The 25,859-nt window shown below is 39.6% G+C and overlaps 1 protein-coding gene and 1 long non-coding RNA gene across 3 annotated transcripts in view, besides 5 other annotated features; one reads left to right on the plus strand and one right to left on the minus strand.

Moving 5' to 3' along the window:
* Positions 1-2,071, minus strand: part of P3H2 (prolyl 3-hydroxylase 2) — a 165,551-nt gene extending 163,480 nt beyond the window's left edge. The window contains exon 1 of one of the 2 annotated variants that reach the window (NM_001134418.2): positions 1,996-2,071. Coding sequence is in view for 1 of the 2 variants with exons in the window: in NM_018192.4 (NP_060662.2) it covers positions 45-524 (480 nt within the window). In the remaining variant the exon portion in view is untranslated. Of the gene's footprint in view, positions 1-44; positions 691-1,995 lie in introns of those variants that run through there. The other variant, NM_018192.4, reaches the window with a different exon arrangement.
* Positions 167-246: a silencer, noted in NCBI's record as "silent region_14999". NCBI's record gives its function as "represses an Ori minimal core promoter by ATAC-STARR-seq in GM12878 lymphoblastoid cells {active_cell/tissue: GM12878}" and the evidence as "EXISTENCE:reporter gene assay evidence [ECO:0000049][PMID:35858748]".
* Positions 457-686: a silencer, noted in NCBI's record as "silent region_15000". NCBI's record gives its function as "represses an Ori minimal core promoter by ATAC-STARR-seq in GM12878 lymphoblastoid cells {active_cell/tissue: GM12878}" and the evidence as "EXISTENCE:reporter gene assay evidence [ECO:0000049][PMID:35858748]".
* Positions 457-927: a biological region, named in NCBI's record as "Sharpr-MPRA regulatory region 10063".
* Positions 633-927: a silencer, noted in NCBI's record as "tiled region #10063; HepG2 Repressive DNase matched - State 4:PromP, and K562 Repressive non-DNase unmatched - State 24:Quies". NCBI's record gives its function as "represses a minimal TATA promoter and a strong SV40 promoter by Sharpr-MPRA in HepG2 and K562 cells {active_cell/tissue: HepG2 | K562}" and the evidence as "EXISTENCE:reporter gene assay evidence [ECO:0000049][PMID:27701403]".
* P3H2-AS1 (P3H2 antisense RNA 1) lies at positions 757-24,639 on the plus strand. Its single transcript, NR_126419.1, has 4 exons — positions 757-882; positions 8,722-8,868; positions 23,079-23,294; positions 24,399-24,639. It is a non-coding gene; the product is annotated as a P3H2 antisense RNA 1 (long non-coding RNA).
* Positions 897-1,076: an enhancer, noted in NCBI's record as "active region_20983". NCBI's record gives its function as "activates an Ori minimal core promoter by ATAC-STARR-seq in GM12878 lymphoblastoid cells {active_cell/tissue: GM12878}" and the evidence as "EXISTENCE:reporter gene assay evidence [ECO:0000049][PMID:35858748]".
* Positions 24,640-25,859: the final 1,220 nt, after the last annotated feature.

Consider the following 25,859-nt stretch of genomic DNA (forward strand, 5'->3'; position numbering starts at 1 on the left):
GAGAGCCGCAGGGGCTTTGCAGTGGAGGAGCGCTCTGTGGGTACCTTGATGTAGGCCCGCTGCAGGTAGTTGTAGGGCACTCTGCGCTGGAAGTCGCTGCGCACATCCTCGCTGACGCGGTGGCGGGATGCGGGGCCCCCGAGGCGCTGGGTCTCACAGCTGCGATAACAGCGCGCCCGCCCCAACAAGGAGCGGAAAAGGGGCAGCTCAGCGCCGGGGCCCTCGCCGGGGGGCGGGGGCGGGAGCGGGTGGCGCGCCGCGCAGTGGCGGGCACAGCGCGTGCGGATTTCCCGCAGGCGCCGGTGGCTGCGCAGCGCCGCTTCCAAGTCGCGCACCGCTCGCTCGTAGTCTCCGCTGTAGTAGGCGGCCGCGCCGCTGGCGTAGAGCAGGTCGAAGGGCTGCAGAGGCCCGGGCTCCAGCTCCAGCTCCCGGCGTGGGCTGTCCGGGGGGCCGCCCCACAGTGGCGGCGGCAGTAGCAGCGGCAGCAGCAGCAGCAGCGGCGGCGCCCAGATGCGCTCCCGCATCCTCCGCCTCAGAGAGGCGCGGGACGGTTACGCTCGAGAGGGCTTCGGGGCACCTCGCGTCCGGGTCCCCTCTCCCACCTTCCCTCGGGGAAGCGCGCCGACTCCGCCGCGATCTGGCCGCTCCGCGAGCCCCAGGTGACCGCCGGCGCTCCGCGTACTGAGAGGCGGAGGCCGTGCCTGGCCAGCCGCTCTTAAAGGGACGCCCACAGCTCACACGCTCCTCCTGCTGCCTGAGACTCCGAGAGCCGCTCTCCCAGGCTCCCCGCTGCAGCGGCGGGGCTGCCAGGGGCGGCACACTCCAGCGCCAGCCAGAGAGCTAGCGCCGCTTGAGGCCGGCCGGGGACGAGGCGCTTTACACGTGAGCTCCCTTCTGGTTGTACAAGTGGATAGTATTAGTCTTCTTTTTGGGAAATAAAGAAAATCCAGCTTAGCAAGGTTAGGGCCTTAATCATATTCTGGAATCTCTGTATGGCCTCGCAGTTTGCAGAGTGCTTCACCTTCTAAATGAAGCCTGGAGCGCCATTTCAGACTGAATCAAACCGTAGATGCCATGTGTACCTACGCAACAAATCTGCGCATTCTGCACGTGTATCCCGGAACGTAAAGTTAAAAAAAAAAAGAATAAATAAATAAATAAATAGAAAAAAAACCCATAGAGGCCCTGTAGGCCCAGATGCGGAGGTTTAAGAAGATAAGTGATTTGCCTAAATGCATAGAGCTGAGAAGTGGCAAAGGACGGACCCAACCCAGGGCCTTTAGAACCAAAGCTTACCGCTTCTTCTCTTGGGGAAGGTTTCTCCCTTACCTTTTCGTCCAACTTGGTGTGGATGTGTGTCCGGGCATTGGATCAGGGCGCTGGGCCAGGGGAAGAACAATATATAGCCTGCCTTTCCTGTGCAGCCCGTGGTTTTACAGGGCCCAGAGAACCTTTGGAGGCAGGAGGAGCTGTACTCGCATTCTGGCTCCGTCCGTTTACCAGCTGTGTGACCTTGGCAACTGAGGGCCTCAGTTTCCTCATCTCCTAAACAGCCAGACGCCTAACACGTAAAATGCTATTCAGAAAAAAATTCTTGCTGTGGGCCAGGTGCAGTGGCTCACCCCTGTAATCCCAGCACTTTGGGAGGCCAAGGCGGGTGGATCACCTGAGGTCAGGAGTTCGAGACCAGCCTGGCCACCATGGCAAAACCCCGTCTCTACTAAAAATACAAAAATTAGCTGGGCGTGGTGGCACGTGCCTGCAGACCCAGCTACTCAGGAGGCTGAGGCAGGATAATTGCTTGAACCTGGGAGGTGAAGGTTGCAGTGAGCTGAGATCATGCAGCCTGGGTGACAGAGTGAGACTCCGTCTCAAAAACAAAAAAAACAAAGAAAAAGAAAAGAGAGGAGAGGAGGGGAGGGGAGGGGACGGGAGAGGAGAGGGAAATTCTTATTCTAAGAGTTGAACAAAGAGGCAATTTAGTATATCCCTTACCTCAAGGAATTAAGCAATCTGCATCAATCTAGGAATGAGAAAGCTGACAGAAATGGTTGCCAGATTCCAAACGACTAGCTGGAGGCTTCCTGTTCCTCCCCTTCTCCTCTGTCACGAATACATTCTTAGCCAAGGTGTTCCCCTCTTTCGTGTTCCTTGGCTTCACACTCTCACAAGAATATTGGTTGGACCCTGGATCCCAGCCTGCCTCCTGGAGGCATTTCTGTGGTCTTCTAGTGCCTGTGAGAATCTCATCAGTCTTTCAGCCCCTGCAATGGTGAGCAGAGGGACAGGCAATGGGAAAAAGACTCACGCATGTATCTAGTTGCTATGATTTTTCCGAAGAAGGCTTTTATGTGGAATCACCACTACGCTGAGGGGCTTGCCAGAGATTCATGCTGATTCCTTCATTCATTTTGTTAGGTTTGACCACTCAGGCCATGAACAGCCCTGGCTGTGTAATTCCAAGAGACACTGATGAATCATGCTCTTTTTTTTTCCCACCAAACGTTACTAATTCGGCTCATATCACTGATGAAAAAGCTCCAGTTTGGAGCTGAATGTATATTGAATGCCTTGGATGGTCAGTGTTCCAGAATTAGCACATCAGTCATCTGCCCAGACTTTTTCTCTAGAGATTGTCTGTTTTCAGATAAAGATTTTGGAGTCTAGTCCAGGGTTATCAGTCCACTTGTGGAAGGTTTTGAAGCACATCAGGATAGGAACTCCTGCTGTGGGACTGAGGGCAAAGTGCCAGGATACCTTGCTACATTCTATTTGTACATTTGGTGACATTTCTACATCATTTAATATATTTCAATTAAATTAACAATTTTTGATGCCTACTCTTAAAGTAAATATTCTAGGTGAAAGAGAAGATAAGTCAGGATTCTTACCTTTGGGAAGCTCACAGTACTGTATAGGAAACAAATTTGATATATATAATGTATACAGCTATAATACAAGGTAGAATGTGGTACGTGTTAGATTAGATTGAAAGTGTTGGCCGGGCGCAGTGGCTCACACTTGTGATCCCAGCACTTTGGGAGGCCGAGGCAGGTGGATCACCTGAGCTCAGGAGTTGGAGACCAGCTTGGCCAACATGGTGAAATTCCGTCTCTACTGAAAATACAAAAATCAACTGGGCGTGGTGGCAGGCACATTTAATCCCAGCTACTCAGGAGGCTGAGGCAGGAGAATCACTTGAACCCGGGATGCAGAGGTTGCAGTCAGCCAAGATCGCGCCATTGTACTCCAGCCTGAGCCACAGAGTGAGACTCAGTCTCAAAAAACAAAAAGAAAAAAAAAAAAGAAGAAGAAAGAAAAAAGAGCTCTGGGAACACAGAGGTTACAAAGATAGCTTCTGGCTAGAAGGATCTAAAAAGACTTAGGGAAATAATTGGCATTAGCACACAGTCAATAGCCTATAGAATGCAACCACATCCTACTGATTGCCAAATTGGCCAGGTTCTTTCAAGCCTCTTGTATGTCCTACTACCTTATTTCTTATATCTTACTACAAGTAGTAAGTAAGTAATATGCCTTGTATTACTACCTTACGTACAATCTCTGCCTGACTTGAGAGAAACTATTCATTGACAACTCAAATTTGCTTGAACATTAGAATCACCTAAGAAGTGTCTGGCTTCTGCTCTGAAAGATTCTGATTTATTGGTCTGGGATATGACCTGAGCGATGGGATTTTTAGAAGTTTCCCAGGTGATTATAATACGAAGCCAAGGTTGAGAACCACAGGTCTACAGCTAATGCCACAGCCCAAAGAATAAGTCTATGAGTTGGGGTTCCAGGTGCTGTGTAGAATTCATGAGTAGGTAGGGTTTGGAGAATAGGTAGGGTTTTGTGTAATCCCCCAGATATTCCCTCCCAGGAAAGCCAATCTGATCTGCTTTTTAAGGCTGGATCAGGACAAAAAGTTCATGACCTTATGGTAATAAGAGCCATGCAGTGCCAAGAAGCTGATTCCAGGTCATGCTGTCCCAGTGGTACTTACTCAATGTTGGAACAGACAGTCATCCACGAGTCTCTTATACTCCTGAACTTCTCACAGAGTGTGCCAAGAATGTACTTTTTCCTTAAATAATTAACTGACTTCCATCTCAGAGTTCCGGATTCACTAAACCTGGGGTGGAGCTTTCAAATTTGCATTTCTAACTTGTTCCTTGATGATGTGCTGCCCATACTTTATTATCTGATTTCTTAGGAACAATGGTTCTAAAACTTCGTTGTGTTGTGAAAAAGCTAGTAAGATCGTGGAGACCCTGGATTTTTGAACTAGAATCTAGTCTGGGCCTTTATATTTTTACCAGTTTCTCAGGTGATGCAGATACTAACCAAAGGTTAAGATTCACAGCTTCAGTTAGAGCAGTGGTTCTCAATTGAGAGTGATTGTACTCCCCAGAGGACATTTCACATTATCTGGAGGTATTTTTGGTTGTCGGATCTGGGGCATGGTAGGTGGGAGCATTCATACTGTTGGTGTCTAGTGGGTAGAACCAGGGATGGTGTTGACCATACTGCAATACACAAGACAGCTACCTACAAGAAATAATTATTCAGTCTAATGTGTCAATGGTGCCAAGCCTGAGGGATATAGCATAGTTTGAGCACTGCGAGGCTCATCTAATTCCCTTAACTTAAAAATGAGGATACTTAGACCCACAGGTAGGCAGTAGCAGGAGTACAATGCTTAATTTGATATAGCAAAATATAAAACATATATGCTAGATGTCATGGGGCAGTGGGTGATAGTAGTTTTGTAAATTCTTTTTTAAAAAGCAAAAGAAAAAAGCACATGACAGTAAGAAAGAAAAATATTTGAGAAAAGACGACATTGGAACATAAAATGTTGACATTTCTACTAAGATAGGTATGAACTGGGAGACTGGAATTTTGCTTTTCTTCCTATTCTTTACAAAATCAAAGAATAGCCAGAGCACAAGAGAATCCATCCAAAAACATTAAAGGAGATTCTGGGCGACAGAGCCCTTTTTATTATATTTGGATTGAGTCTTAACAGAGCTTGAATTTCCTTTTGACTTCTGTTTACAAGTCAACAGCATAATTGCACCGTCTTTCTTTAGGGAACCATCAGCAAGTAGGAATTAGAAGAGATTTTTAAGTGCTTCTTATTTTCTCCAAATCAGCTTAGTTTTTAAAAACCAACTTTTCTCCATTCTAGTAAATATTTTTGGAACAATAAAAGTGTACTCGGACTTCAGCAGTAGACTTAACACTTTCCAAAAGCGAATCTGATACTAGTTTATTATGATCACGTGTAACCAGGGCTCTTGCTTGCCCCAAACATCTTTGATTCCTTTGAAATGAAAGGAATAATTCTCACTGTGCGACAACCCAACTCGTTGTTCAGCTGCTGTTGATGCTGGTGACAAGGGAGTTGTTTTGGAGACAATTTTTTCTTACGCAAATAAAATCATCTGAAGACTTTTTTTCCTCCAAATAAGTTAGTGTGAAAGGCAAGCCACCAACAATCTGTCAACGTAAGAGAGTGAGAGAGAAAGCCCTCCCTGGAGAAAGAGGTTTTTTTTTTAGAAAAATTAATATTTAACTTACATTTAAAATCAAACAGGAGCTGCCACATTCCAGGACTGTCTGTTCCTTTCCAATTTCTTCAATAGCTCCATCCTTGTGCTTACCTTAATTCTCAGTTGAGCTTTAAAATTCCAAATCAAACAAAACATGCAAACACTCTGTCCTCACACTCATGTTGTGGAGACATTCTAACTTCATTCCTTGGAAGCCTCACATTTAGTTGAACAACAACTACAAAGAAGTGAAAAAATAACGCTGGCCGGGCGCAGTGGCTCACACCTGTAATCCCAGCACTTTGGGAGGCCGAGGCGGGTGGATCGCCAGAAGTCAGGAGTTCGAGACCAGCCTGGCCAACATGATGAAACCCCGTCTCTACTAAAAATACAAAATTTAGCCAGGCGCGGTGGCCCCCGCCTGTAATTGCAGTTACTCGGGACGCTGAGGCAGAAGAATCATTTGAACCTGGGAGGCAGAGGTTGCAGTGAGCTGAGATCATGCCACTGCACTCCAGCCTGGGTGAAAAGAGTGAAACTCCATCTCAAAATAAATAAATAAGTAAATAAATAAATAATAACGGTGCTAAGTATTCCCCAAATAATTGAGGCTAAAAACACAATTCAGATTGAAATCCAGATTATTGGGTATATCCTATGTGTTTAGCATTTTACCAATTATTTTTACAAACATTAAGTTATATAACCCTCAAGGGTCCCTTTGAGTAAGACATTTGTACTGTAATGTTACCGTTGAAATAATTGAGGCTTATAAAATAGAAATGACTTGCCTAATGCAATAGTTTGAAACTGACAGAGCCAGGACTAAAGCTTATTTAGTGCTTTTCTCACTGCTTCTCAGTGCTTCCTTCTAGGCCTAAAATACCTTCATAGCTTCTGTCACAATTCTGCCTTGGTTCAAGTTATACAGACCACATTTCTGCTTTAATCACCAAATTTGTTTTATAAGCATCATTCAGCTAGAGTCCCAGACTCATAAAATTATTTTGCAAAATATATATAGACAAAGTGTGTTTGTATGTGTGTGTGTGTGTGTGTGTGTGTGTGTAAAGCCATATGTATTGGACAGAAGCTGAATACAACTTTGAACTCAGCTTGTTAGACGATATAATGTGTATAGGAACACTCAAGACAAGAGAAGTAAATAGGTCTTAATTCATTTCTACACAAGGGATGCCAGAACACTGTTCTTGGGTGCAAAGAAAAGCCTTATGCATCAGAAATTCTGGAAGAGAAGAATATTCTGTATGCATGGGATGATCTGTCATCCTGAGATAACCCTTATGCCCTCCCTGTCCCAAGACCCTCTTCGCATTTCCATCCCTGCACTCTTCCTCACAGGGCTCCCTGATATCACATTTCAGAAGCATCCCTGTTGCAAGCTCCAGGAACTGAGTCTGGCTCTGGTCATTCTGTAGTTCCAGGAGGCTTTGTCCCATGGCAAAGTAGACACCACTGTTCTCCTAGTGGCCTACTCTAACTTGGAACACTGGTTTAGAAACTGAACCCTTGTATTTTCCTGTTTAGGTATATTAGGGTTGATCATTAATGACTTATCTTTTCCCAACTTCAAACTTGGAATCACTTGAGATAATTATCCAAATATTACCTTTATTGATGAATAAGCAGTTTTGAAGAACATGGGTTTTAATCTTTAGTAAATGGTCTTTTTATTTCTTCAGCCAACCACACCCTCAAATCAAACTTACCTGCCTACTCCCAGGCCACGCTAGACAAGTATGAAGTATTACTGTAGAAATTTCCTCATTGAGATATTTAAGAAAAATGAGGGCTTCCTTCAACATTCTACTTAATCTCAATAATTATCACCCTATTTCCTCTGAAATGAGTCCCTTGCCTTACTCCTTCTGGCTCTAACTGAAATTGTTCCTAAACCTCAGTCCCTTTCATAGCTGTTAGATATCAGTAATGCCACTAACCTGCCTGGACCAGCACCTAGCTCTTGCTATCAAACTCCTTGGGTAAGAGCTTCATCTTTCTGGTATGGCATCTTCCTGTCTCCCTTTAAAGCCACCCGAATACTGACTGCTTTGCTATTGGACATCTGCATTTCATCCTGTTGCTTCCTGCCTATATACCCCTAAGTCTGGTCCACTAAAATGTTCTGACCAGTTGTTAAGACCTTCCTTTGGATCTGGCCTGCCCTGCTTCTGACAGGGCCCCTGAGCTGACAGTGCACTGAGGCGTGTTCTGGCTACAACAGAGCTATTGATGTGCTTATCTCTCTGGCCTCAGCTTCATGGGAAAAGGATGGAGACGCACACTTCAATTGTGAATCATGTCTTGTTCCCATTTTCAGAAAAACGTAGGCTGCTGCAGTTTTTACATTTTGTCGGGGATCTAGATGGAAAGCCAAATATAAAAAGCGCAGGAAGGAATACAAAGATATTAGTTGACTGATAGAAAATTTACATTAAGTTCCCTCCTAGCATTAAACTTTCATCTTTGTTCAGGTTCAACTCATACTAATTGAGGATTCTAAACTGGAAACATTTTTGTGATTTTATTTGAGCCCTGGGGTTTAGAGACAGGAAGAAATTAAGGGATACAATATTATACAAACTTTACGAATGAAGACATTTGTTAAGATATTTGTCTTTACTGCCTAATTTATGATTTTTTTGTGGATTTCAAAAAATATTTTAAGTCCACAGAAAAAAAATAAGTTACGCAGTAGAGAGTTGAATCTGAATCCAGAGCTCACTTTACTGGAGATGTCTTCCTTCTCTTGTGAGGACCTCCAGACAGGAATTCCTTTCAGCGCCTGCAAACAGGAGGCTTTGTTCTAGTCAATTTCTTCAGACTTCTGGTAGCCTCCAAACTCATCATCTGGTAGGATCACAGGGAAACTAAAAGAGCCAAATACTAGGACAATAAAGCCTCAGCCACTAAAACCCTCTGAATTCTACTGCTGGGTATTCACCACTCTAATGATTCTAGGCTGCTCTGCCCACCCTTATCACCATTTCCCCACATCTACGTTATGCGTCATGTAACCTGTGGTATCCTGCATGCTGGCACCAAGTTTTCCCACCCAATCTTGCATCCCTGCTTCTATGAATAGCATCTACATGTGCTTCCCCCAGGACTGCTGAGCCCCCTCTTCTGTTCTCTTCTTTAGTGCCTGATGGGTACTAGCAGCCCACCCCAGCCAGATGGAGGACAAGGCCTCTCCAAGTCTCAAGGAAATGCACAATCCTTCCTTACCTCTGGCCTCAGAACTCTCAGCATCTCATTGATTAGCAACCTCATCTGTGGCAAATCTAAGGTAATTGCTTTGAAGGTAATAAGATGATGTAATATGTAATGTTTTTACTTTATATAAAGCATCAGTAGCTCACATTTTATGATTTGTAGTCACTAAGATTAACAACTCATGATTTACTATCAAGTATAGATTAAAAGGTAATTAAAGAGTCAACTTTATAAATATATACATATATGTTTTTTCTCCCATATATACATGGTCAAAAAAAGGTTCAGAGGAAAAAGAACAGATTTGCGACCGGGCACGTTGGCTCATGCCTGTAATCCCAGCACTTTGGGAGGCCGAGGTGGGTGGATCACCTGAGGTCAGGAGTTCGAGACCAGCCTGACCAACATGGAGAAACCCCGTCTCTACTAAAAATACAAAAAAAATTAGCCAGGCGTGGTGGCGCATGCCTGTAATCCCAGCTACTCGGGAGGCTGAGGCAGGAGAATTGCTTGAACCTGGGAGGTGGAGGTTGTGGTACCAGCCTGGGCAACAAGAGCAAAACTTCATCTCAAAAACACAAACAAACAAACAAAAAAGAACAGATTTGCTTTTTTCTTAATAAAGAAAAATGTTTTGAATTCACTCTGTAGAAATTTAAAACTGCTTGATGTTTTAGTGATCAAAATAAAATTATCAAAGCTAAAAATACCAAATAGATATGTCACTAAATTGATTATTTTGTTCCTCATAGTAATTTTAAAAAATACATTCAGGCTGGGTGCAGTGGCTCACACCTGTAATCCCAGCACTTTTGGAGTCCAGGCAGGTGGATCACGAGGTCAGGAGTTTAAGACCAGCCTGGCCAATATGTTGAAACCCCGTCTCTACTAAAAATGCAAAAATTAGCCAGGCATGGTGGCGCGTGCCTGTAGTCCCAGCTATTCAGGAGGCTGAGGCAGGAGAATCACTTGAACCTGGGAGGCGGAAGTTGCAGTGAGCCGAGGTCATGTCACTGCACTCCAGCCTGGGTGACAGAGCAAGACACCGTCTCAAAAAAAAAAAAAAAAAAAAAACAGAATGCATTCAGAGGAAAATATTGGCAGAACTCATAAAACTTGCCAATGTGACTTCTGGAGAAATCTTCACTCATCATACCTGAATATTTTATATTCTGTCTGACTTCACTACTCATCTTGGCTACCCTGAAAATAGATTCCAGCTTCCTGATTACCTCACCAGCCTGTCTGTGGTTTCTTCAACCAGGCTGTCCCTACACCAGTCCAGTCCTGCTGTGTTTATTTCCAAATTACCTCTCGGTAGCAGTACCTGACCATATGCAGATTGCCCATATGGAAATGTATTTGAAGGGATAAACCAGTGATCATCATTCTCTTAACCTCTTGGAAAAAAGATATCTATTTGATGTCAACACTGTGTCTATGTTCTAGCAAATAATATTTTGTTGAGTGAACAAAATAAATTTATATTTCAAAAGAGATGTACACATAAAATTACCCTGGATAGGAAATTAGAACATCTTGGATCCGGTCTGTTTCTTCCGTTATCTAGGTCTGGTATCTTAGGCAAGTCCCTTTCTGGGCTTCTTTTACTCCCATCAGTAATGGAAAATGTGAAACTAGATCTCTGAGATGTCTCCTAGATCTCCATATTCTTTAATTCTTTCATTTAAAATATATACTTTTGTCACATTCCTAGAGATCCCCAAAGCATTGCTCCCCCTCTTCCTACATCTGTCTCTGGGATAAAGTTAAACTTTGGTTCCCAAGCAAATTTCGAAGCTCCCTCTGGGGTCATTAAAAGTCTTAGTTTACTCAGAGCTTGTTGGTTTTGCCTAGAAATCTCGGCTGCTCTCACCAAGTAGAGCAAGAGACTACTGTTATTGTTTTGAGCCAGCCCGTAGCATAGTAACAATTCTGGGCAATACGGAGTTGATCCATATGCCCAGCTCCCTGGGGAACCTCCTTACTTCAGTCTGTCCAGCATGCGTGTTTGCCTTCTGTCTTTGGGCCTTTATCCATAGGAAAGACGAAATATGAATATAATCCAGGACTGAGGGAAAATAATGACTGGAATTGCAGCTACTCTATTCTACCACTTCACATTATAAATAGAGAAGCTAAGACCCAGGTGCAATGATGAAGCTCACCTAAAATAATAACAAATGATTGGTTAAACCAATATCTTAACTCCTCTCTCCTGTTGGATTGAATCCCTTGTCACTCTGTTCCTTGGAGAAATTCGGAATGTAAGTAGTAAACTAACTGAGCCAGTTTACTTCTGAAGGAGGGAGACACTTTATATTTTAAAATAAACTTATTTAACTCTAAACCAGTTTCAAACTTTCAATCACTACTTTTGAGGTACTATAAAAATATACCTATGTACGCTTAAAACCTTTTCAGGTTCAGAGGACTAGGACTAGCTTTAGATGACTCCTTACTTTCAATGATGCAAGTCGTATAAACAAAATATCCATTTTTGTTCACACTTCAGTCCTAATATACCCATGAGAAAACATGAGTCACTAACTTGACGTTCTACTCCTGGAAGACTGCCAGCCCTCAGGTTCTATCACATAAAAGCAAATGATAGGTTGATTTGTTAAAATAAATATCAAATAAATTATAATTAATTTCCTTCAAAGTAGACACCTTGGTGTTACATACGCTGATCTCATTGATGATATCAATGCTTTGGGAAGGACTTGTGGAGAAATTTCTTATTTTATAACCAAAACTGATTGTTTTTCTTTTTTACCAAAGAAGAGTCTTTTTAAATTCATTTTCCATTTTGTTTTTCTTTTTTACCAAAGAAGAGTCTTTCTAAATTCATTTTCCAAAATCAACTCCAGGTGACATTTAGATGTTTCCTGAATTCGAGTAAACTTCAAAAGATAAAGAATTACCCTTATTAAAAATAATAGTAATTGAAGCCAGTCTTCTAAATGTTCAGAGACCTTTCTTTTGATTAATGAATAATCATTTCATATATAATAATCACAGATTTTTAAAATGTAATGTTACTTTAATTTTTGTAGCCCTTGATCATTTTCAAAGCCCTTTCACATGTGTAAAATGATAGTGATACAGCTGATGTCTCACCACCTGGTCTGGTCTTCTGGGCATTTCCTATATAAAGGCTTTGGGTTGTGTTGCAAAGCTGGAGAAATTCAAAATCTTGCTTGCCCCCTGGGACTGCCATTAGTAAACCAATGACAATCTGCTTACCTATACCCTAGGACTCTACACTTCAAACTAATGTACTCCTCACATTTCCATCATTATTGAAAACTTTAGCTAGTAGGAAAACTTTTATTAAAGCAATCCATTTATCTTTCTAGAGACATTCTCTGTACTCCAGAGTTTTCCCACACTTTGAGAAATAAACTTAATAGTATGAATCCCAAATGTTGGGATATATGAAAGAGTTGCTATTAAATATCTTTTTTTCTCTATTTTTTCCTTACTTCATTCCTGATATATTCACTAGAAAACAATTACTGAACTCTGCATCTGAAAGACTGCCAGACCTCAGATTGTTACACAAAATTTGAAATTCTCCAGGGATCTGCTTCTCTATTATTGCAAGATAACAGAAAATAACAGTTAAAAATAGGAGTTTACCCTTGTATTACACTTGCTACCCCATGTTCACTGGCAAAACTTATGACCCTTCTCTTGGAAGATTATGCTGTAATTGACTAAGGCTTTCTGATAAGGACATTAAAATTCAGAGATAAAATTTTTATTTATTCACTTCTTTTTCAGTGACATTCCTTGTAAGAGGACCTCTGATGTGACATTTTAAGAATAGAACGATGTGGCCAGATTATGTATTTATTCAAAATCTGTTTTTTTCTCCATGATTAGAGATTAAAACTCAGATTTTCCTGATAATGAAACAGACTATGACCTCAGGATATGCTTTATCTCAAATCTCACAATGAATCTAGGACTAAATCAGCAAATGAGGCTCAGTGACTAGCTTTCCAGTAGTGGTTAGGCAAATCACATGGTCTCCTACTATCATACTTGTCCAAACTTCCTACTACCTTCCTTTTTCCCTGCAACCACACAGTGACCTACTATTCCAAAAGAAAGTTGAAGAGCTCATGATGAGCAAGGAAATTATACAGAGATAATCTTGGATGCTTAAGCTCATTGGATGCTCCAGGCTGAGAGAATCTTTTAAGTTCCTCTAGTCCAGATTCCTGATTCAGGTGAAGACGCTGAAGCCTAGATTAGAAAGTGATTAACATACAATGTTATAGTGATTGGTGGCCGAACTAGAAACACATCATGTTTTTGTAGATAGAGCTCTTTTTTTTTTTTTTAAGAATGACCATGTCAGGATTGAGATTTAAAACTCTTCCTTGCTGATTTAACGAAAATTGTAGTTAAACTGCATATGGGATCCTTAGATGTTCTTTAGAGTCTCCGAGGCTTTTTGGAAACCCTGCTCCCACTTCGGCCAGAGCTCTTTGATTTTATTTGCATATAATGTATTAGAAAACTAATAAGATACTGCTACTTCACGCTTTGAAAAACCTTAGCTTCGGAAAAGCCACAGGTACAGCCAACACACCCCATAAACTCCAGGCAGGATCTGTGAAGAAGACATTATTGAGGACAAAGAAAATATGCAAGATTTATCAAGGGCTCAAAGTTGAAAACATCAATATTGTTCAACTGCACAAGAGTTTAGAAGTTGGGTAATGCCCAACCTGGTTTTTACTAACCCTGTTTTTAGACTCTCCCTTTCTCCTTTAATCACCTAGCCTTGTTTCCACCTGAGTTGACTCTCCCTTAGCTAAGAGAGCCAGACAGACTCCATCTTGGCTCTTTCACTGGCAGCCCCTTCCTCAGGGACTTAACTTGTGCAAGCTGACTCCCAGCACATCCAAGAATGCAATTAACTGATAAGATACTGTGGCGAGCAATATCCGCAATTCTCAGGATTTTGTCTGATTGATGACGCCCAAAGCCCCGGATCTATCACCTTGTAATAGTCTTTAAGCCCCTGCACCTGGAGCTGTTTACTTTCCTGTAACCATTCATCCTTTTAACTTTTTGCCACTTTATTTCTGTAAAATTGTTTTAACTAGACCCCCCCACTTTCCAAACCAAAGTATAAAAGAAAATCTAGCCCCTTCTTCTAGGGGCCGAGAGAATTTTGAGTGTTAGCCGTCTCTCGGTCGCCAGCTAATAAAGGACTCTTAATTCGTCTCAAAGTGTGGCGTTTTTCTAACTCGCTCGGGTACAACAGTTGCTTTTGGTTTTACTTTCCATTGCATTGTGGTGTGTTTTTCTCCATTTCCATGGAGAAGAATATTCTCATTTACTTCTAGGTATTAGGTCAAGATGACCAAGCAAACAAATCAAGCAACTGTGATCCAGCAGCAGAGTATGAAGATGGATCTAAACACAATGAGGATTCAATGAGGGATCAGGGATAGACTCTGAACAATAGTGTTAAATCCAAGAGGCAAGTTGAAGAAACTTGAAAGACAGAGAAAGAACCACTGGTCAATCAAACAAATTAGTATTGGAACACTAGAGAAATGAGAAGGTGTCTTTATTGTGGGCCCCTCCCCTTAATCTCATCTACTCTTTTTTAGTCTTTCCCATATCATTAAATCTCTCAACATACACCTAGTTGCTCAAACAACAACAAAAAACCTTAAAATTATTGTTGAGATCTATTTTTCCTCATACTCAATAGCTAATCCCTCAGCCTTGTCCACTGAAAATTTTAAAAATATCTCACTAAACTAATTTCTTTATTTCTAATGTAGGCCACTACTCCACAACAACCAACCAATATCTCTCACTTGGTAAACTGCAATAGCTTCTTACCAGTCTCCCAGCTTGTATTCTTGTCCCCTGAAACTTTTTCTCCATACAACAAACAAAAAGCTCTATTAATAAAAATATCCTGGAACTAATAGATAATTATAGTAGTTTGCAGGATCCAAAGTTAGTATTCAAAAGTCAGTTTCTTTTCTATATACTAGCAATGAGCAAGTGGACTTGAAACTAAAAATAAAATGCCATTTACATTAGCAGTCCCTAAAATGAAATACTTAGGTATAAATCTAACAAAATATGTACAAAATCTATATGAGAAAAACTACAAAACTCTGTTGAAAGAAATCAAAGAAGAACTAAATAGGTAGAGTGATGGTCTATGTTCATGGATAAGAAGAATCAATAGTGCCAAATGTCAGTTCTTCCCATTTTGATCCACAAACTTAAAGCAATCCCAATAAAACTTCCAGCAGCTTGTTTTGTGAATATTGACAAACTGATTTAAAAGTTTATATAAATAGACGAAAGACCCAGGATAGCCAACAAAATATCAAAGGAGAAGAACAAAGTTGGAGAACTACCACTAACCAACATCAATACTTACTATACAGGTACAGTAATCAAGACTGTGTGGTTCTGGTAAAAGAATAGACAAATAAATACATGGAACAGAATAGAGAGCCCAGAAATAGACCTATATAAATATAGTCAATTCATCTTTGACAATGGAGCAAAGGCAGTAGAATGGAGAAAAGATTCTTTTCAACAAATGGTGCTAGAACAACTGGACAATCATATGCAAGAGGTAATAACGAATCTAGACACAGACTTTACAGCCTTCACAAAAGTTAACTCAAAACGGATTATAGACCTAAATGTAAAATGCAGAACTATTAAACTTTAAGAAGATAACATAACAGAAAATCCAAATGACCTTGAGTTTAGTGATAACTTTTTCAATACAACACCAACAGTACAATTAATGAGGAAAAAGAATTAATAAACTTAACTTTATTAAGATTTAACTTTTCTGCTCTGTGAAAGGCACTTTCAAGATAATAAAAAAAGAAGCCACATTGGGAGAAAATACTTTCAAAAGACTTATCTTGTGAAGAATTGTTATCCAAAATGTGCTAAAAAAAAAAAAAAAAACCCTTAATGGCCGGGCACATTGGTTCATGCCTATCATCCCAGCACTTTGGGAGACCAAGGTGGGAGGATCACCTGAGGTCAGGAGTTCGAGACCAGCCTGGCCAACGTGGTGAAACCCTGTCTCTACTAAAAATACAAAAATTAACCAGGCGTGGTGGGGCATGCCTGAAATCCCAGCTACTCGGGAGGCTGAGGCAGGAGAATCACTTGAACCCGGGGGCTGGAAGTTGCAGAAAGCTGAGATCATGTCATTGCACTCCAGCCTGGGTGATACAGCAAGATCCATCTAAAAAAAAAAAAAAAAAAAAAAAAAAAAACCTAAACTAAAAAACCTTAAAATTCAGCAACAAGAAAAAAAAAAACAGTGATTAAAAAATGTCCAAAGACCTTGACAGGCGTCTCACCAAAGAAGTGATAAAGACAGAAAATAAGTATATGGAAAGATACTCCATGTCTTATGTCATCAAGGAAATCCAAATTTGAATAATGAGATACCACTACACACCCAATAGAATGGCAAAAACCCAGAACACTGACAATACTAAATAGTGGCAAAGAAGTGGAGCAACAGGAACACTCATTCATTGCTAGGAGGAGTGCAAAATTGTATTGCTGCTTTGGACAAAATTTGGCAATTTATGACAGAACTTAACATACCCTTATCATGGGACTCAACATTTTGTGTTTCTTGATATCAACCCAAAAAAGTTGAAATATTATTGTCCACACAGAAACCTGTACACAAATATTGATAGCAGTTTTATTTATAATTGCCAAAGTAACCAAGATGTTCTTCAGTAGGTGAACAGGTAAATAAACTCTGGTATATCCAAACAATGAAATATTATTTGGTGCAAAAATAAAAAAGTTATAAAGTCACAGAAAATAGAAGCTTAAATGCATGTCATTAATTGAAAGAAACCAATCTGAAAAGGATACTTACAGTATGATTCCAACTATGTGAAACTCTGGAAAAATTAAAACTATGGAAACAGTACAACAACCAGTACTTGCCAAGGGTTAGGGGGAACTCAGGGTTTTTAAGTCAGTGAAATTACTCTATGATACTATAATGGTGAACAGGTGTCATTATACATTTGTCTGAACATAGTCTATACAGCATCAATAGCGAACTTAAATGTAAACTATGGACTTTGGATGATAACAATGTGTCAATGTAGGTCCATCAATTGTAACAAATGTGGCACTTCCGTAGGAGATGTTGATCATGGGGAGGCTATGCATGTGTGAGGGCAGGGAGTATTTGGGAAATCTTCATATCCTCCTCTCAATTTTGTTGTGAATCTAACCTAAAAATAAAATGAAATATAAAAATGTAGTATACTAGAACAGAAAAGATTCAGAAAGCCTACAGTTTTACAGGATTAATATGGCAAAACATTCAAAATCGTTAACTTATTTGAAAAATGTTGTCTTAAATAATAGTTGTTAGATATTGCCAAAATATAATGTGAATAAAACAAAAAGACACTATGTGAAAATAATTAGATAGTATTATGTACATACTTTTATATTAAAGGCAGTTAGAATTAAAAATATCTTCTCTTTGGTAGAATTTGTCATGAACTTATCAAAAACCTCAGCATCAGTTAACTGATCACTTTCTTACTTAAAAATATAGTTTATAGAGAAGAGTCAATTGAAGTCATCAATAATTTCAAATTAATTAATTAAAAAAAGATTGGAAGAACATTACCAGTAATTTTATAAAGTTAAAAATGTAAAGCCCTTGTGATGATATTTGCACAACCCTGTAAATTTATTTTAAAATATTTAATTGTACACTTAAAATGGGTGAACTTTATGGTATGTAAATTACACCTCAATAAATCTATTAAACATTAAAAATAAAAGAAACCACTTTGAAGAACAAAATATATTCTAGGACACAAACTTAGTAATATAATAGTAGAAGTAAAATAAGAAGACATTAAAATTTAGGAAAATGTATCAAAAATAATTCTATTGTTTCTTCATAATATTTAATAAACAATTTAAATAATTATATTTTAATAGATATGAATATATGTTATTTTGCCTTTAAGAGGTTAATTTTTAAAAATAATATTTGAATTAACTACTATTATTGGTTTATGAGGAAACCATTTGCTATGATCAATCGAAATTAAAAAAATTTACATATGAATATGATTATGTCATTGTCCAGCTTAATATTCTTCAATGATTTTTCACTGCACTTGAGCTAAAATATGAAATCTTCAATTTTTCTACAAGATCATGTGTGATCTACCCAATGTTAAACTCATCCTACTTACTACTCTATTTCTATTGGACAACTCTCTTTTTTTTTTTTTTGAGATGGAGTCTCACTCTGTCACCCAGGCTGGAGTGCAGTGACATGATCTCGGGTCACTGCAAACTCCGCCTCCTGGGTTCAAGTGGTTTTCCTCCCTCAGCCTCCCAAGTAGCTGGGACTACAGGCACCCGTCACCACGCCTGGCTAATTTTTTTGTATTTTTAGTAGAGACGGGGTTTCATCGTTTTAGCCAGGATGGTCTCGAACTCCTGACCTCGTGATACGCCTGTCTGGGCCTCCCAAAGTGCTGGAATTACAGGTGTGAGCCACCATGCCCGGCCAGGCAACTCGCCTTTTTTTAAACTTGCCCAAATCTTTCCCATCTCAGATCCTTTCTATATTCTCATTTTTTGGAAATTTCCCCTATCCTTCAGGTATCAAGGTAATTGTTACTTTCTCAAAGAGATTTTTCTGGCTCTCTTTATTCTCAATCCCTCTCATAGTCTATTATGCATTATACTGTCATTTGCCTTCATGGCACTGACCACTACATGTGTGTGTGTGTGTGTGTGTGTGTGTGTGTGTGTGTGTGTGTTTATCTTTCTCCTTGAATACTTTATAAGCTCCATGAATGTAAAAATCACATATTTTGTTCACCGCTGTGTAACTAGCAACTAGAATCGTTCTTAACATAAGTCAATATTGTCAATTGACTAATTAATTAAAAAAAGATGAATAAATAAGTAAAGAATAAAATAAGTAAAGAAAATAAAGAAGTAAAGAGAAAAGTAACAAATACTCAGCTGATATACAGCCTAAAAAATGCAGGAAAAGCTTCCTTTTTAACCTCCATGCCCGATGCAACTTCTGTCAATTTGTTTTCATTATCCCCTGGGAGAACAATAGAAAAAACTCAAGTCCATTTATTTGACATCTCCTCACATATTTGAAAATAACACTTTATTAGTAAGATTCTTAATAATTGAATTAATTTACTATATATCTCTTATGTGTCTGTTATGTGCAAGTGACTTACTTAATTCAGTGGAGAATTCATCAGATAACACACCCTTTCCTCAAAGAAGACAATCTAGGGGACATAGAAACAAATACAATTCAAAGAGAAAGGTGGCTTGTGTTATAAGAGACTTCAAAAGAACATATTATACTAATTCTAGCTTAGTGGTCAGAAAATTCGTGGAAGAGGTAATGTTTGAGCTGAACTATGTAGGACAGGTGAGATTTCAATAGAATGAAGTTAGGAGAGAAACAACAGCATTCCAGAGAAAGAAAAAGTATGACGTGATGCACGTGTAGAAATATAGGACACAGTTGAGAAACAGAAAGGAGCCCAGTTTTCCCACAACGTATGTCATGAGAAGCAGTAAGACATAGCCTGAAAGGAGGGATGAAAGCAATTTTTTGAAGCCAATGATTCCCGAGGTTTAGGCTCTATTTATTTATAGAGAATGGTAATCTGTTAAAGTTCTTTTGCACAAGGTGGTAGCAAATTTACAAGATTAAACTGGGACCTATACATCAATTATATTAAGTAGGTACTCTGGACCCCTTGACCAGGAGCTTTCAGTAAGAAGGTTACTGCAATTGTCTTGGAAAATAGTACTATAAACCCAAATTAGGATGTGGTGTAGGTAATGGAGAGAAGAGCAAAGTTAGACCTTGGTTGTGATAAATGAGATGTGTTCTATATTCTGTGAGATTTCTCCGGTATAACTGAGCCTCAATTGCCTACAGTATTAACATGTTCCATAATACAACGTTCACCAGCTTCCTTCCATTGTCTCTCTCATTTCACCACTTTCCTTACAGTTTTTCCTGGGATCACCTTCCAAATATGCTGCTTGCACTTATATACGTGATTCAGGGATATTAGCGCAAGTAGCACTTGATTCTGAAAACAGCAACAACAGAAACTAACCTCAGTCAAATAACATTAATAGTAACAAATACAAAAATAAGAACAACTTGAGGGTGGAGGTTGGAAGGAGAGGATTAGCAATGATTTTTGACATTTCGAGCAGAATTGGAATTTTTATTATTACCCATACTTAGCTGAATCAAATCAACATAAAACATAAAGTATAATTTGAGTTCATAAGATACACAAATATGTAAATGATGAATTGTAAGGATTTTACATATGTAAATATTGTACATCTCTGTTTTCACATTTTTAATTTAACATTATTTTTCTATCAAACTGATAATAAATCAAAGCAGATGAAGGCTGTGGTTCACACACATACCAATATAGCCCAAAATTGAATTCCAAAGATCCTCTGAAATAGCTCCACTTGTAATAGGGAAAGCTGAAGTATAAATTGCTCCCTTTTATTAAACATATACCAAATAAAATCTCAATAGAATCAAAGTTAAATATAAAATCTGTAGTTATAAAGGGATAGGTAAAAATGAAAGTCACTACTTGATCTGTAAGTGGTGAAATAACTTCCGAACATAAAAGCAAATGAATAAATTACAAAATAAGAGACTTAAATACTTAGCTACATAGATAAATTTCAAATATTAAAATTAAATATAAATAATGAACTTTGAAAGTATTAAAACACATATTATACAGTATTATTATCATTTATATAAAGAATTCTGACAAATTAGTAAGATAAATGCTTCAACTGTGATAGAAAAAAGGCATAATAGGGTTTCTGAATGAAAAAATATAAGTGAATGTTAAACGTTAAAATGTTTAAATATTCCTATTTTAGCTTATTAAATTGGTAAAATCTAAAAATAATACTGGCTGAAAATTCTATGAATCATCATTCTCATCTGGTCTGGGAAGGAGTATAAATTGGTATGGATTCACAATCCCTCATCCACACTTCCAAAGTTCAAAGATTTTTTCATAGCTCATTTGCCACTAAACACTGACTCGAATTCATATGATGCTGCTCACAGTTTGTATTGCTTCTACTTTATGAGACTATCAATACATTTTGCTAAGGAAAGCATTTCCCTAGACTCCAAATAGGATGTTACTTAATAGAGGTTAAAGGCAACACGTTACCTCTCTAAAACCCAAAAGTTGGATATCCTCAGGACCTTAATCTAAGAAAAAATAGTAGCATATAGAAATACTTATAAATAATGATGTTGCTGAGTGTTATACATAATAGTAAAAAACTGAAAATAATCCATTCATCATAAGAGAGTGTAAGACAACAATGGTATCAATGAATGCTACAACATCATAGTAAAAACACACTTTCAAAAAAATTTGATGACATGAGCCAGAATTGAGGTAATAGCAAAACACCTATGCATACATGAAACAATAATCCCAACTACATATTTATAGAAAAAAGTATTTGAAGAAAAAGATTATCTTTGGGAAGTAGAATTATGAGTTGTTTTGATTTTTTAAAAACTTAACTTGTGTTCCATAAATCTTCCACAAATTACATACTACTCCAAAAAGAAAAAAAAATCCTATTTATATTTAAATTTTGAAATGTTTTCACTTATTTGAGCTCAGAGTGAGCTCTAAAAAATAGAGCCCAAGCTCAGAAATTTGGACTAATATTTGCATGGTTCAGACTCTCAGACTTGATGAAATTAAAGGCCATATGTTACCCTTTGTAATTAAAATATTTGTCTTTTCTTTATAATTTCAACTTTTACTTTAGATTCAGGGGGTGCACATGCAGGTTTGTTACCTGAGTATATTGCATGATGCTGAGGTTTGGGGTAGGATTGATCCCATCACCCATAGTACCTAATAGTTCATTTTTCAACGCTTGCTCCCTTACTCCCTTCTCCTTCTAGTTGTCCACTCTTGTTGCCATCTTTATGTCCACAAATACTCAATGTGCAGCTCCCACTTATAAATGATAACATACAGTATTTGGTTTTTCATTCCTTCGTTAATTCACTTAGGATAATGGCCTCCGGCTGCATCCATGTTGATGCAAAGAACATAATTTTGTTCTTTTTTATGGCTGCATAGTATTCCATAGTATATATGTACTACATTTTCTTTATTCAATTCCCTGTTGATGGGCACCTAGGTTGATTCCATGTCTTTGCTATTGTGAATAGTGCTGCAACGAACACACAAGTTCATGTGTCTTTTTGGTAAAATAATTTGTTTTCTTTTGGGTATATACCTAGCAATGGGATTGCTGGATTAAATGTTAATTCTGAGTTCTTTCAGAAATCTTCAAACTGCTTTCCACAGTGGCTGAGCTAATTTATATTCGCATCAAGAGTATATAAGCATTCCCATTTCCCCACAGCCTCGCCAGCATCTGTTTTTTTTTTTTTTTTTTTTTTTTTTTTTGAGACGGAGTCTCGCTCTGTCATCCAGGCTGGAGTGCAGTGGCACAATCTTGGCTCACTGCAAGCTCCGCCTCCCGGGTTCATGCCATTCTCCTGCCTCAGCCTCCTGAATAGCTGGGACTACAGGTGCCCGCCACCAAGCCTGTTTAATTTTTTTTTTGTATTTTTAGTAGAGACAGGGTTTCACCGTGTGAGCCAGGATGGTCTCCATCTCCTGACCTCGTGATCTGCCCGTCTCGGCCTCCCAAAGTGCTGGGATTACAGGTGTGAGCTGCCGCACCCAGCCCAGCATCTGTTGTTATTGACTGTTTAATAGTAGTCATTCTGACTGTGAGACGGTATCTCATTGTGGTTTTGATTTGTGAGAAAATACTTTTCATTTACCAATTGTTGACTCAGGGTGTTTGTTATTCTTTGTTATTTATCATAAGGGAATATATAAAGAGCTTGAACATAGTTTAAACCTCAAGATTAAAAGTTATAATATGTTAGAATATTATTACATAATGTTTATGTAACATTTTTTGCAGTTTGTATACCACTAGAACGTCTATTTTCTAATTCTTTATGTATGTATATGGGTTTCTGGGTATATAAAAATGTAGTTTAAAAAACACAAACACATACAAAGAATAATACATTTCTGAGTTCTCACACCCAGTATTAGTATCTATTAACATTCTGCCATTTTTTTTTTTGTAAAGGAACACCTTCTACTTAAAATTGAAGTCTTCTGGGCTGGGTGTGGTGGCTCATTCCTGTAATCCCAGCACTTTGGGAGGCCAAGGAGTGCGGATCACGAAGTCAGGAGTTCGAGACCAGCCTGGCCAACATAGTGGAACCCTGTCTCTACTAAAAATACAAAAATTAGCCGGGTGTGGTGGCACATGCCTGTAGTCCCAGCTACTCGGGAGGCTGAGGTGGGAGAATCGCTTGAACCTGGGAGGCGGAGGTTGCAGGGAGCTGAGACCACACCATTGCACTCCAGCCTGGGTGACAGAGTGAGACTCTGTCTCAAAAAAAAAAAAAATTGAAGTCTTCTGCGACTTACTTCCACCTTTCACATTCACACATATATCTCACATATATGTATATATGTATACACACGTATATCTCTATGAACAATATATTCTTTTGTATTGTGTGTGTGTGAGGGGTATTTTAAATTCTATGTAACTTTTATTGTATATATTGTTTTTCCCTTTATTTTTGAATATTATACTCTTTTATCCATGTTGGGAAGAAACACACACACACACACACATTAGTCATTTATTGTGTAAACTACAAAATTTTCTTGTCATTTGTTCTTTGAAATAACCCTCCCACACCCACTTTACAGATAGAATATTAAGTGAGTCACCAGGATTTGTAAAAGACACTTAACTAGAATTGTTGTAAACTTAGTTAGGTGTCTGATATTCTTTCTTTCACTCGCGTCCGTGTGAAGAGACCACCAAACAGGGTTTGTGTGAGCAACAAGGCTGTTTATTTCACCTGGGGGCAGGTGGGCTGAGTCCGCAAAGAGAGTCAGTGAAGGGACATAGGAGTGGGGCCGTTTTATAGGATTTGAGTAAGTAGTGGAAAATTACAGTCAAAGGGGGTTGTTCTCTGGCTGACAGGGGTGGGGGTCACAGGGTGCTCAGTGGGGGAGCTTTTGAGCCAGGAGAAGGAATTTCATAAGGTAACGTCATCAGTTAAGGCAGGAACAGGCCATTTTCACTTCTTTTGTCATTCTTCAGTTACTTCAGGCCATGTGGATGTATACGTGCAGGCTTGGGCCCAGAGACCTGACATTTTCTTTTTCTTTTTTTTTTTTTTTTTTTTAAGATAGAAAAGTCAGGTTTACAGAAACATGGAAATACATCATTGATTATCAATTTTTGTTATACTGGAGAACATTTGGAGATTTGTATATTTTTGAGGGATGAGTTAGAAATGATGGCTTTAGTGTTTACTAGCATAATTTGCATGTGAAACTTCTGACATAAATGAAATATAACTGCATATATGTCTCCTGTCAGGCCTCTGAGCCCAAGCTAAGCCATCATATCCCCTGTGACCTGCACGTACACATCCAGATGGCCGGTTCCTGCCTTAACTGATGACATTCCACCACAAAAGAAGTGAAAATGGTCTGTTCCTGCCTTAACTGATGACATTGTCTTGTGAAATTCCTTCTCCTGGCTCATCCTGGCTCAAAAGCTCCCCCACTGAGTACCTTGTGATCCCCACTCCTGCCCACCAGAAAACAACCCCCTTTGAGGGTAATTTTCCTTTATCTACCCAAATCCTATAAAACGGCCCCACCCCATCTCCCTTTGCTGACTCTCTTTTCGGACTCAGCCTGCCTGCACCCCGGTGATTAAAAGCTTTATTGCTTACACAAAGCCTGTTTGGTGGTCTCTTCACACAGACATGCATGAAATTTGGTGCCGTGACTCAGATCGTGACCTCCCTTGGGAGGTCCTCCTGTTCTTTGCTCCTTGAGAAAGATCCACCTATGGTCCTCAGACCGACCAGCCCAAGAAACATCTCACCAATTTCAAATCTGGTAAGCGGCCTCTTCTTACTCTCTTCTCCAACCTCCCTCACTATCCCTCAACCTCTTTCTCCTTTCAATCTTGGTGCCACACTTCAATCTCTCCCTTCTTTTAATTTCAATTCCCTTCATTTTCTGGTAGAGACAAAGGAGACACGTTTTATCCGTGGACCCAAAACTCCGGCGCCGGTCACGGACTGGGAAGGCAGCCTTCCCTTGGTGTTTAATCATTGCAGGGACGCCTCTCTGATTATTCACCCAGGTTTTAGAGGTGTCAGACCACGCAGGGACGCCTGCCTTAGTCCTTCACCCTTAGCGGCAAGTCCTGCTTTTCTAGGGGAGAGGCAAGTACCCCAACCCCTTCTCTCTGTGTCTCTACCCCTTCTCCACCTTTCTGGGGGGCAAGAAACCCGTAACCCCTTCTTCTTCACTCTTAGCAGCAAGTCCCGCTTTTCTAGAGGGGCAAGTACCCCAACTTCATATCTCTGCACCCCAATCCCTTATTTCCATGCCCCAACCTCTTATCTCTGTGCCCCAATCCCTTATTTCCACGCCCCAACCCCTTTCCTGCTTTTCTGGAAGGTAAGAACCCCCGAACCCCTTCCCTCTGTGTCTCTACTCTCTCTTTTCTCTAGGCTTGCTTCCTTCACTATGGGCAACCTTCCACTCTCCATTCCTCCTTCTTCTCCCTTAGCCTGTGTCCTCAAAAACTTAAAACCTCTTCAACTCACACCTGACCTAAAATCTAAGCATCTTATTTTCTTCTGCAATACCGCTTGACCCCAATACAAACTCGACAGTAGTTCCAAACAGCCGGAAAACGGCACTTTCAATTTTTCCATCCTACAAGATCTAAATAAATCTTGTTGTAAAGTGGGCAAATGGTCTGAGGTGCCTGACGTCCAGGCATTCTTTTACACGTCGGTCCCTCTCTAGTCTCTGT

Source organism: Homo sapiens, chromosome 3 (genome assembly GCF_000001405.40).
Source record: "Homo sapiens chromosome 3, GRCh38.p14 Primary Assembly".
In the NCBI taxonomy this organism is placed as follows: Eukaryota; Metazoa; Chordata; class Mammalia; order Primates; family Hominidae; genus Homo; species Homo sapiens.